Here is a 13983-nt window from a genome sequence, read left to right on the forward strand (position 1 = left end):
GCCTGGCCAACATGGCGAAACCCTGTCTCTACTGAAAATACAAAAAAAAATTAGCTGAGCATGGTGGCATGTGCCTGTAATCCCAGCTACTTGGGAGGCTGAGGCACGAGAATTGCTTGAACCCAAGAGGAAGAGGCTGCAGTGAGCCAAGACCGTGCCACTGCACTCCAGCCTGGGCAACAGAGTGAGACACTGTCTCAAAAAAAAAAAGGATGATACACTTATGACCAAGTGAAGTCCATCTGAAAAATGCAAAGTTTGTTTAATATATGGAAATCAATTTATGTTATATACTGTATCAGTAGGAAAAAGGACAAGAACCACATGATCATCTCAATAGACACAGAAAAAGCATTTGACAAAAATCTAACACTCATGATAAAAACACTCAAGAAACTAGGAATAGAAGAGAACTTCCTCAGCGTAATAAAGGGCGTGTATGAAAAACCCACAGCTAACATCATACTTAATGGTGAAAAAGAGCATACTTTTCCCCTAAGATCAAGAACAAGACAAGGATGTCCACTCTTGCCATATCTATTCAACATTGTCCTGGAGGTTCTAACCAGGAAGTTTAGGGAAGAAAAATATATAAATGGCATCTAAACTGGAAAAGGTGAAGCAAGACTATCTCTGTTTATAGATGACATGATCTTGTATATAGAAAATCCTAGAGAATCCACTAAAAGTCTATTAGAATTAATATATGAGTTCACCAAGGTTGCAGAATATAAGATCAATATAAGAAAATAAGTTGTGATCTGGCACAGTGGCTCAAGCCTGTAATCCTAGCACTTTGGGAGGCCAAGGCAGGCATATCACTTGAGGCCAGGAGTTCGAGACCAGCCTGGCCAACACGGTGAAACCCCGTCTCTACTAAAAATACAAACATTAGCCAGGCATGGTAGCACATGCCTGTAGTCCCAACTACTTGAGAGGCTGAGGCACGAGAATCATTTGAACCCAGGAGGCAGAGGTTTCAGTGAGCTGAGATCAGGCCACTGCACTTCAGCCTGGGCTACAGAGCAAGACTCTGTCTCAAAAACAAACAAACAAAAAAAACAAAAGGAAAAGAAAAGAAAATCAGTAGTATATTTATATACTAGCAATTAACAATTTGACAATGAGATTAATAAAACAATCCCACGGCTGGGTGTGGTGGCTCACGCCTGTAATCCCAGCACTTTGGGAGGCTGAGGTGGGCAGATCACAAGGTAAGGAGCTCGAGACCAGCCTGGCCAACATAGTGAAACTCCGTCTCTACTAAAAATACAAAAAATTAGCTGGGTGTGGTGACAGGCACCTGTAATCGCAGCTACTTAGGAGGCTGAGGCAGGAGAATCACTTGAACCCGGGAGGTGGAGGTTGCAGTGAGTCAAGATCATGCCACTGCACCACTCCAGCCCAGGCAACAGTGCAAGACTCTGTCTCAAGAGAAAAAAAGAAAGAAAACAATTCCATTAATAATAGGATCAATACAAATAAAATACTTAGGAATAAATTTAGCAAAAGAAGTGTAAGACTTGTATACTTGAAAACTACTGAACATCATTGAATTTAATTAAGGAAGACTTAAATAAATGGAAGGATATCCCATGTTCATGGGCAGGAAGACTTGATATTCTAAAGATGGAATACCCTTCAGATTGCCTTACAGATGCAACACAATCCCAGTGAAATTCCATCTGGTTTCTTCACAGAAACTCACAAACTGATTCTAAAATATATATGGAAATGCAAGGGACCTAGAATATTCAAAGCAATCAAGGAGAAGAACAAATTTGTAAATGTCACATTTACTGATTTAAAAACTTTCTACAAAGCTACACTAATCAAGACTGTGTGGTACTGTGTAAAGATAGACATATAGGTCAATGGAATAAGATTGAGAATCCAGAAATAAACTTACACACTTATGGCCAGTTGATTTTCAACAGTAATGCCAAGACAATTCAATGAGGAAAACAATTTTGTCTTTTCAACAAATAGTCCTAGAACAACCGGGTAGTCATATGCAAAATAATGAAGTTGAAACTTGTGGCCAGGCACAGTGGCTCACGCCTGTAGTCCCAGCACTGTGGGATGCCGAGGCGGGTGGATCACTTGAGGTCAGGAGTTCAAGACCACCTGGCCAACATGGTGAAACCCCGTCTCTACTAAAATTACAAAAAAATTAGCTGGGCATGGTCGTACATGCCTGTAATCCCAGCTACTCTGGAAGCTGAGGCAGGAGAATCACTTGAACCTGGGAGGCAGAGGTTGCAGTGAGCTGAGATCACGCCCCTGCACTCCAGCCTGGGCAACAGAGTGAGACTCTGTCTCAAAAAGAAACTTGCTCTCATACCATATACAAAAATTAAAGCAGATCAAAAACCTAAACGTACGAGCTAAAACTATAAATCTCTTAGAAGAAAACATAGGTGTTAATCTTTGTGACTTTGGATTAGACAATGATTTCTTAGATGTGACACCTAAAGTACAAACAGCTAACCAAAAAAGAGTTAAATTAGACAAAATTAAAAGCTTTTGCATTGTAAACAATACCATCAAGAAAGTGAATATGATCAGGCATGGTGGCTCATGCCTGTAATCTCAACACTTTGGGAGGCCAAGGTGGGAGGATTGCTTGAGCCCAGGAAATTGACCCCACCCTGGGCAACATAGCAAGACCCCATCTCTAACAAAAAAAAAAAAAAAGAAAGTTAATAGCCAGTCCATAGATTGGGAGGAAAATATTTGCAAATCATATAGCTGATAAGAGTCTTATATCCAAGATAGATAAAGAACTCTTACTGTCTGGGCACGGTGGCTCACACCTGTAATCCCAGCACTTTGGGAGGCCAAGGCGGGCGGATCACCTGAGGTCGGGAGTTCGAGACCAGCCTGACCAACACGGAGAAACCCCGTCTCCACTAAAAATGCAAAAAAAGTGGCCGGGTGTGGTGGCACATGCCTGTAATACCAGCTACTGGGGAGGCTGAGGTAGAAGAATCGCTTGAATCCGGGAGGTGGAGGTTGTGGTGAGCCGAGATCGTGCCATTGCACTCCAGCCTGGGCAATAGAGTGAGACTCCATCTCAAAAAAAAAAAAAAAAGAACTCTTACCAATCAACAATAAAAATATAACCCAGTTTTAAAATGGGCAAAGCAATAAGTACATGAAAAGGTGCTCAATGTCATTTGCCATCAGAGAAATACAAATCAAAACCACAATGAGATGCAATTTCACATCTACTAGGATGGCTATAAACAAAAAGACAGATAATAATAAGTCTTAGCAAGAATGTGGAGACACTGAAAGCCTCATACATTTTCAGTAGGATGGGAAAATGGTATAGCTGCTTTGGCAAACAGTTTAGCAGTTTATCAAAAGGCTAAATAAAAACGTAGAGGTACCATATGATCCAGCAATTCCACTCTTAGTTTTGTCTACCCAGGAGATACGAAAACATGTCATATATGCAAAACCTTGTACCCAGATGTTCATGCAGCAGTAGTCATAATAGCCAAAAAGTGGAAAAACCCAACATGTCCATCAACTGATGAATGGGTAAATAAAATGTGGTCTATCCATACAGTGGAGTATTATTCAGCCATACAAAGGAATGAAGTACTGATACATGCTACAACATGGATGAGGCTTGAAAGCATTTTGCTTAGTGAAAGAAGCCAATCACAAAAGACCATGTATGATAGGATTCCATTTATATGAAATATCCAGAGTAGGACATTAAAATCTGTAGAGACAAAAAGTAGATTAGTGGTTCTCTAGGGCTTTGGGGTGGGGTGATGGGGTTGTAGGGTGATCACTAAACAGTATATTTCTTTTTGTGGTAATGAAAATGTTCTAAAATTAAGTGTGGTGATGTTTACATCAACTGTGTGAATGTGCCAAAAGCCATTGAATCATGTACTTTAAATGAGTGAATTGTATGGTATGTGAATTATATCTCAATAAAACTGTTAAGAAAAACAAAAGAAGAAAGGAGACATCTCTATAAAGTGATGACAACTTTACATTCTACAGGAATATATATTCCACATTGACAAGGATCTTTGTTTTGCTCACTTCTGCATTTCCAATGGCTAGAACAGTGGCTGGCAAGTAGTGGGCACTCAATAATGTTTAGTGAATGATTTTAATCATAATTAATGCAAAATATACCTTTCAAAAAATGAAGGAAGTAGGGCAACAAAAAGTACCGCGGGCTTTTCAGTGACTGTAAAGTCAGAGGAAACAGCTAGTTTGAAGAGACAAAGTTGGTTTTAGGAGAATAATCTTTGGGATGGAGAGACCTAGAAAATATTGGATAATGTTGGCCTAGAGTTCAAGGGAGAAGTTGGGCTGGACTTTGCAATTAAGAGTTGTCTTTGTGAGGCCAAGGTGGGTGGATCACGAGGTCAGGAGTTCGAGACCAGCCTGACCAACATGCTGAAACCCCATCTCTACTAAAAATACAAAAAAAATTAGCCAGGCACGGTGGCACATGCCTGTAATCCCAGCTACTCAGGAGGCTGAGGCAGGAGAATCGCTTGAACCCGGGAGGTGGAGGTTGCAGTGAGCAGAGATCGAGCCACTGCACTACAGCCTGGGCGACAGAGGGAGACTCCGTCTCAAAAAAAGATTTGTCTGCATAGAGGTGAAAAATGAAACTTTGGGAGTAATGAGATAATGGAGACAGAGAATATATAGAAAAAGAAGGCTAAGAAGAGAATCTCTTTTTTTTTTTTTTTGGTCTCACCCTGTCATCCAGGCTGGAGTACAATGGCACCATCTTGGCTCACTGCAACATCTGCCTCCTGGGTTCAAGCCTCCTGAGTAGCTGGGACTACAGGCGCATGCCACCATGCCTGGCAATTTTTTTTTGTATTTTTAGTAGAGACAGAGTTTCGCCATGTTGGCCAGGCTGGTCTTGAACTCCTGACCTCAGATGATCCACCCACCCCAGCCTCTCAAAATGCTGGGATTACAGGCATGAGCTACCATGCCCAACTGAGAATCTATTTCATGTATAAGAAAATGAAAAGAAGACAATGAAATTTGTAAGGTAGAAAAATAATTAGGATGGTATGGGGAAGTTATTGGTAGTGCTAACGATGCTGGGAGAGAAGCCAAAGAAGATAGTGACTGTAAAAACACCACTGAATTTAAGAAGTAGGAAATTCCAGGACAACTGGTAGGAACTACTTACAAGGGGATTATGGAGTGACCAGTAATGACAATTGGAAGCACTAAACATAGACCTCTCTTTCAAAAAGTCTGGTACTAAGAAGACTGTTGACTTTTCTCTTTCCACTGGACTAGCTTAGTCCTCTGACTGTGTTTCTTTAATTATCTTGACTTTTCATTTCAACACACATCATATTTTATTATAATTGTATTGCATGTTGTTTGTATTCTCTGGTAATCTCTGTAGGAGTAGTAACCATGTCATGTTTATCTCTGTATCCTAGACACCTAGCCCAGTGCCTAGTGTTTAGTTGATGGCACAGTAAATATTATATTGTTGAATGAAATGAATTGTTCTAGTATGCTGGCAAAGACATGACAAAAATGGCTGACCATTCTATCCAGATTGGATTGGAACAAGTGAAGCCAGAAGGAGCTTAATGGATTATTAGAAGAGGGAAATGGCCAAGAAATCAAAGCAGTTAAATATTGTGTGCTCAGCTGAAGCAGGTGATACCCCATAGTATTTCTTGGTATTCTTTATCTTTAATCTCTGGGAAGAAAGAGCACATTCAGTAATAACCTGTTTTTATTTTTATTTTAGATTCAGTGGGTGCAGGAGCAGGTTTGTTACAAGGGTATATTGTATGATGCTGAGCTTTGGGCTTCTACTGATCCCATCACCCAGATAGTGAACATAGTACCCAATAGGAAGTTTTTCAGCTCTTGCCCCCCTTTCTCCATCCCTCCCTCCTTTTAGAGCCCCCAATGTCTATTGTTTCCATCTTTATGTCCGTGTGTACCCAGGTTAACCTTGTTTTTTTCAAAAATGAGAAACCTCTTTTTTTTTTAGCTGCAGGTTACTTTAATTTTATAGGTGGTTGGCTATGTGATAGACTTTCTCTTTTTTGCCAGCCACCTGGGTTTTGTAATGGATGGACAGGTAGGGTTGATGGGAAAAGAATACTGGTCTATTTTTCAGGAGACCTGAATCCCACCTCTGTCAATAACTACCTATGTGGAAAGGACTGTTCATTAGATGATCTTTAAGCTTCCTTCCAGGCCTCACATTCTAGGATATTATTTCTAGTAGTTGATTTATGACTGAGACTCAAGAATTTGGCCACAGAGCAATAAGCCAAAGGGAAAAACCACTTCCCCTCTACACACAAACATGGTTTCTAGAACTACGAGTTTTTGACTCATATGAGAAGATGAAGGCAGCTCACTGTATTGTAGTTAACCTTACAAATCAAGGATGTCTTGAGAGACACCTTATAGTATAAGGTTTTATTTTAGCTAGCTGAACAGCAATTAATATCTGACTTTTTTCTTGTCAGGACCGTAAGAGGCAATATGAGCTGCTGAAACTTGAAAGAAACTTCCAGAAACAATCCAATGTGCTCAGACGTAAAACGGAGGAGGTAAGAAAATTCAATCTGCTAGGTCAAGTGTATTGTCATCTTCAGGTTTAAATGCTTGCAAAGTAATATCCTTTAAACTAGCAAGCGTCCTGAGAAACCAGGGATGCCAATCTTCACAAGCAATTCCTAAATCTTGATCACTGTTTATATGCCACTGTGAGCAGATAAAAACTTGATGAAAAATGGTACTGTTCAAATAAGGATTTTTTCCTAACTGGACGTGAGCCTTTCCTGAAAAAACAAAGTGATATTGATATGTGACATTTCTAGACACTTTTAGTCTGCAGAACTTCCTTGAAGTGTGTTCCTCCCCTAGGCACCAAAGCAGTAGCTGTTCACCAGTGTTATGTCCATGGAAGTTTATAAACCTGGTTCCTATAGGAACTCAAACCCATAGAATTTTTATCTTTACTAATGTGCTAGAAATTGGATTTTTTTTTTTTACCATTCATTCAACATTACTATGTGCCAATTTTATTTAGGCAGCAGCTGCCAACAAGCGTCTCAAGGATGCTCTCCAGAAACAACGGGAGGTTGCAGATAAGCGGAAAGAGACTCAGAGCCGTGGAATGGAAGGCACTGCAGCTCGAGTGAAGGTATGAACAACTTGAACTGCCATTTCTCTTGTGGACACTGGGAACAGGAAAAAAGGAGAAATAGCTTTTTTTTTTTCCTTTTTTTAGAAGTAAACACTGCAAAATCTAAAGTTCTACTTGAAAGCCTTATTTCCTAAAGATAGCAATGTCTTTGAACTGTTGTTAAAGACCAGGAGTATAGAACTCTTTCTATCTTTGCCCCTATTGAGGTTCAGTTACTTTTTTAAACAGCTTCATTGAAGTAGAATTGACATATTATAAATTGTACATATTTAAAGTTCACAATTTGGCCGGGCATGGTGGCTCACACCTATAATCCCAGCACATTGGGAGGCCGAGGTGGGCAGATCACCTGCGGTCAGGAGTTTGAGACCAGCCTGACCAACATGGTGAAACCTCATCTCTACTAAAAATACAAAAATTAGCTGGTTGTGGTGACAGGTGCCTGTAATCCCAGCTACTTGGGAGGCTGAGGGAGGAGAATCGTTTGAACCTGGGAGGTGGACGTTGCAGTAAGCCAAGATCGCACCATTGCACTCCAAACTGGGTGACAGTGAAACTCTGTCTCAAAAAGAAAAAAAAGTATACAATTTGATGAGTTTGGACACGTGTATACACCCATGAAATCATCACCATAATCAAGATAATGACAGTGTGCTTCATTGCCTAAACTTTCTTTGTATCCCTCTGTAATCCCTTCTTCTTATCCCTCTGTAATCCCTTCTTCTCCTCCCTGGTCTACCCGTCTACTCCCCATTTCATATATATTTCTTTATATCCCCACAGTGGTTCCAGGCAACCATTAATCTGCTTTCTGTCACTATGGATTTGTTTTCATCTGGAATCATACATTATGTATTTTTTTTCTGGCTTTTATTCACAATTATTTTGAGATTCATCCATGTGGTTGCATATGTCATATACAACTTCTTTCCTTTTTATTGCTGAGTGGCATCCCATTCATTGTATGGCTATACCATAATTTGTTTTTATATCCATCTGTTGATGGATACTTGAGTGGTTTCCAGTTTTTGGCTCTTACAAATATTGCACTGAACATTTGTGCACAAGCCTGTGTGGATTTTTTTTAATTTCTTTTGAGTAGATAGCTAGGAGTAAAATGGCTTTCTTGTATGGTTGGTGTATGTTTTAACTGCTAAGTGGCTGCCAAACTGTTTTCCAAAGCAGTTGTACCATTTTACATTCCTACTAGCAATGTATAAGGGTTCTAGTTGCTACACATTCTTGCCAATAATTAGTATGGTCAGTCTTTTGAATTTTAGCTATTCTGTGTGGGTGGGTAGTGGAACCTCATTGTGGTTCTAATTTTCTTTTCTGTAATGACTAATGATGTTGGACATCCTTTCATGTGCTTATTTGCCATATGTATGTTTTCTTTTGTGAAATATGTGTTCAAATCTGTCCCCATTTTTAAATTGGGTTGTTTATCTTTTTCTTATTATTGAATTAAAATTCTTTATATATTCTAGATATATTTAACAGAGGACTTCTGTGTTTTACAAATATTTTCTCCCTGGCTGTGGCTTGCCCTTTTCAATTTGTAACAGTGTCTTTTGAAGAGCAAACATTTATTATGTTAATGCCATCCAATTTATTGATATTTTTTTCTTTATACTTAAACAGTTTTCATATCTTGCTTAAGAAATCTTGGCTGGGTGTAGTGGCTCATGCCTATAATCCCAGCACTTTGGGAGGCTGAGGCAGGAGGATTGCTTGAGGCCAGGAGTTCAAGACCAGCCTGGGGAGCAAAGTAAGATCCTGTCTCTACAAAACAAAATTTTAAAAAAATTAACCAGACATGGTGGTGCATGCCTGTAGTCCCAACTACCGGGGAGACTGAGGTGGGAAGATCGCTTGAGACTGGGAGGTCAAGGCTACAGCAAGCCATGATCGCACCACTGCACTCCAGCCTGGGTGACACAGCAAGATCCTGTCTCAAAAAAATTTAAAACAGAAATATTTGTCTGGCCAGGCTCAGTGGCTCATGCCTGTAATCCCAGCACTTTGGGAGGCCAAGGCGGGTGGATTACCTGAGGTCAGGAGTTCAAGACCATCCTGGCCAACATGGCAAAACCCCGTCTCTACTAAAAATACAAAAAATTAGTTGTGCACGGTGGTGTGCGCCTGTAGTCCCAGCTACTCGGGAGGCTGAAGTGGAAGAATCGCTTGAACCGGGGAGGCAGAGGTTGCAGTGAGCCGAGATCGTTCCACTGCACTCCACCTGGGTGATAGAGCGAGGCTTCGTCTCAAAAAAATATATATATTTGTCAAACCCATGGTCGCTAAGATTTCCCCCTAAGTTTTCTTCTAGAAGTTACATATTTTTAAGCTTTACATTTACGTCTTTGATTCATTTTGACTGGACACCTTTGTCAAAATTAAATATCCATACATCTATTTCAGATTGTTTCATTGATCTATATGTCTATTTTTATGCCAATACCAAAAAGTCTTGAATGCAGTTGCTTTTTAAGAAATCCTGAAATCAGTGTAAGTCCAAAGTTGTTGTTCTTTGTCAAAATTGTTTTGGGAAAACTGGGTCCTTTGCATTTCCATATACATTTTAGAATTATCTTGTTAATTTCTACAAAACAGCTTGCTGGGAGTTGGATTAAGATTGCATAGAATTTACAAATCAATTCAAGGAGAATCAACATGTTAAGAATATTTAGATACACGAATGCAGTATATCTCTTTATTTAGGTTTTTAATTTCTCTCAGCAACATTTTAGTTTTTAGTGTACAAGCGTTGTACATCTTTTGTCAAACATATCCCTGAGTATTTCATATTTTTATGATATTGAAAATGGCATTTTTATTTCCATTTCCAATTGTTTAGATATTCTTGTTGGTTCTCAAAGCTTTTTTGTAGAGTTCTTAAGATTTTCTACCTAGAAAATCATGTCATCTGCAAATATGGACAATTTTATTTCTTCTTTTCTGTTCTGTGCTTTTTTATTTTTTTAACCTTTGTCTTGCCTTATTGCACTTGCTAGAACCTCCAGTACAATATTGAATAGACTAGGTGAGAGGCTACAACCTTGCTTTGTTCCCAGTCTTGGGCAGAAAGCATTCAGTTTTTCACCGTAAAGTATGATAATAGCTATAGATTTTTTGGTATATGTCTTTTATCAGGTTGAAGAAGTTCCTTTTTTTAGCTTGCGAAGTTTTTATTACAAATTGATGTTGGGTTTTTTCAGGAGCTTTTTTTTCTGTTTCTGTTGAGATGATCTGACTGTTGGTTGATTGGTCAGTTTTTATTCTGTTATATGGCAAATGGCACTGATTTTTCCCTAATTTATTCTGTCAAGGCATAGCTGACATACAATAAAATAAACCCTTTTGTTGTATAGTTCTATGTGTTTTGACAACATGTACAGTTGTGTGACCACTACAACAATCAAGATACAGAATAGTTCTCTTATCCCCAGAAACTCCCCTATATCTCTTACAGCCAATTCCTCCCACAACCCTGGCCCTTGACAAACACTGATCTGTACTCTGTCATTATTGTTTTCCCTTTCCATCAGTGTCATAGAAATAGAAACATACAGTATGACTTCCTTCACTTAGCATAATTCGAGATTAATTTGTGTTGTTTGTGTATCTGTAGTTTGCGTGTTTTTGTTGTTGTTGTTGAGTAGTATTTCATTGTATGGATATACCACAGTTTGTTTATCCATTCACCTGTTGAAGGATATCTTAGGTTTTTCTTTTCCTTAGGTTTTGGCAATTACGAATAAAGCTGCTGTTAAAAACACATACACGTTTCTATGTAAACTAATTATTTCACTTGGGTAAATACCTAAGAGTGGGACTACTGGGTCATATGATAAGTATATGCTTAATTTGTAAGAAACTGCCAAATTGTTTATCCAGTTAGTTGTTTATTGCTGATATATAGAAATACAATTTATTTTTGTATATTAACTTTTATCTCATGCCTTTATTATTCTACTAGCTCTTTTATAGGTTTTTAGGATTTTCTATGTAGACTATCATGCTGTCTGTAAATACAATTTTATTTCTTCCTTTCTAATCTGTATGTCTATCATTTCTCCTACTTGCCCTATTGCATTGGTGAGAACCTTCAGGATGATGATGAATAGGAGTGGTGAGAATAGACATCCTTCTGTTCTTCCTGATCTTAGGGGGAAAGCATTCAGTCTTTCACCATTAAGTATATTAACTGTAGTTAATTTTTTTGAAATACTTTTTGTCTCTAGTTAGTTGATTTGGTGAATTATTTTGATTGATGTTCAAATATGGAACCAACCTTGCATTTCTTTTTTTTTTCTTTCCGACTTTTACTAGGTTCAAGGATTACATGTGCAGGTTTGTTTTTACATGGGTAAATGGCATGTTTCAGGGGTTTCGTATACAGATAATTTTGTCACACAGATAATCAGCATGATACCCAATAGGTAGTTTCTCAGTCCTCACCCTCCTCCCACCCTCCACCCTCAAGTAGGCCCTGGTGCCTATTGTTCCCTTCTTTCTGTCCATGTGTACTCAATGTTTAGCTCCCACTTAGAAGTGAGAACGTGTGGTATTTGATTTTCTGTTCCTGCATTAATTCTCTTAGGATAATAGCCTCCAGTTGCATTCATGTTACTACAAAGGATGTGATTTTGTTCTTTTTTTTATGGCTGTGTAATATTCCATTCCAACCTTGCATTTCTTGGATAAACTCCATTTAATTGTGATATATCATCCTTTTTATGTATTATTAAATTCAGTAATACATAAAAAAACTTGTTTAAATTTTTGTATCTGTGTTCATGAGGGATATTGGTGTGTAGTTTTTTGTAATACCTTGGTCTGGTTTTGATATCAAGGTAATACTGGCCTCAGAAAGAGCTGGGAAGTGTAGTCGTTTCTCTTCAAATGTCTGGAAGATTTTGTGCAGAATTAATATTGTTTCTTTCTTAAAAATTTGATAGAATTCATCAGGAAAGCCATCTGTGGCTGGAGAGATTTATGTTTCTTGCTTAGTTTTGCTTTTTGGGGAGAGGGATGTTAAATAAAGTTTTAAAAATAGATATAGGATTGTTCAAAGTTATATGTTTCTCCTTGAGTAAGCTTTGGTAGTTTGTGTGTTTCAGAGAACTTGTCTGTTTCATCTAAGTTGTCAAATGTATTGGCATAAAGTTGTTCATCATATTCCCTTATCGTTCTAATATCTGTAAAATCTCAGCCAGGTGCGATTGTTTATGCCTGTAATATTGGCACTTAGAGAAGCTGAGATGGGAGGATCACTTGAGCCCAGGAATTCGAGACCAGCCTGGGCAACATAGCAAGAACACATCTCTATTTTTTTTTTAAATCTGTAATGATGTCATCTATCTCATTCCTGTTTGTATGTTTTCTCCTTTTTCTCAATCAGTCCAACTAGAGGTTTATCAAAGAACCAACTCATTCTTATAATAGGTAAAATGGTAATTTTTATGTTATATATATTTTACCACAATAAAAAAATTCAAAACAACTCCCAATTCATTAATTTCCACTCTGATCTTATAATAATAATAATAATAATAATTATTATTATTATTATTTTGAGACGGAGTCTCGCTCTGTCACCCAGGCTGGAGTGCAGTGGCGTGATCTTGGCTCACTGCAAGCTCCGCCTCCTGGATCTTTTTTTTTTTTACTTCTGCATACTTTGGATTTATTTTGGTCTTCTTTTTTTACTTAAGGAAGAAGCTAAGGTCATTGATTTCTTTCTTTTCTAATATAGGCATTCAGTGCTATAAGTTTCCCCTTAAGTATTCCTTTAACAACATCCCACAAATTTTCATAATGTTATATTTTCACTTTCATTCAATTCAAAATACATTCTAATTTTCTTATTGATTTTTTTCTTTGACCCATGGGTTATTTAGAAGTGTTATGTAGTTTCCAAATGTTTGGGGATTTTTCCAAATGTCTTTTTGTTATTGATTTCCAATTTAATTCTAATATGGTCAGAGAACATACTTCATATGACTTGAATCCTTTTGAACTTATTGAGACTTATTTTATGGCCCAGAGTATGATCAATCTTAGTAAATGTTCTATGTGTACTTGAGAAGAATGGGTATTCTGCTGTTGTTGGATGGAGTATCTATAAATGTCAATCATGTCAATTTGATTGATTGTGCTGTTAACATCTATTGTGTCCTTGCTGATTTTCTGCATACTCGTCCTATCAATTATTGAGAAATAGGTATTGAAATCACCAACTATAATTATGGATTTTTTCCTTAGAGTTCTACATTTAGGATTAATTGATCCCTGTATTATTATGAAATGGACTTCTTTATTCTTGGTAATATTCTTTGTTCTTTGTTCTAATATCTACTTTGTATGATATTACTGTAGCCCCTCCAACTTTCTTTTTATTAATGTTAGTATGTTGTTTTTTTTTTTGTCATGGTGTATTTAATGTTAACGTATTTGTGCCTTCATTTTTAAGGTGTGTTTCTTTTCTTTTCTTTTCTCTTTCTTTCTTTCTTTCTTTCTTTCTTTCTTTCTTTCTTTCTTTCTTTCTTTCTTTCTTTCTTTCTTTCTTTTTTTTTTTTTTTTGACAAGATCTTGCTCTGTTGCCCAGGCTGAAGTGCAGTAGCACAGTCACAGCTCACTGTAGCCTTAACCTCTTGGGCTCAAATGATTCTACTACTTCATCCTCCCAAGTAGCTCAGATTACAGGCACATGCCACTACGCCTGGCTAATTTTTGTATTTTTTGTAGAGATGGGGTTTCAACATGTTGCTCAGGCTGGTCTCAAACTC

At 37.9% G+C, this 13983-nt stretch overlaps 1 protein-coding gene across 1 annotated transcript in view; it reads left to right on the forward strand.

Moving 5' to 3' along the window:
• The window catches only part of KIF4A (kinesin family member 4A), a 130783-nt gene that overhangs the window by 90005 nt on the left and 26795 nt on the right, over positions 1 to 13983 (forward strand). The window contains exons 19-20 of the mRNA NM_012310.5: positions 6510 to 6593; positions 7076 to 7189. Of these exons, the coding sequence (NP_036442.3) occupies positions 6510 to 6593; positions 7076 to 7189 (198 nt within the window). The remainder of the gene's footprint in view (positions 1 to 6509; positions 6594 to 7075; positions 7190 to 13983) is intronic.

This window comes from Homo sapiens, chromosome X (genome assembly GCF_000001405.40).
Source record: "Homo sapiens chromosome X, GRCh38.p14 Primary Assembly".
NCBI lineage: Eukaryota > Metazoa > Chordata > Mammalia > Primates > Hominidae > Homo > Homo sapiens.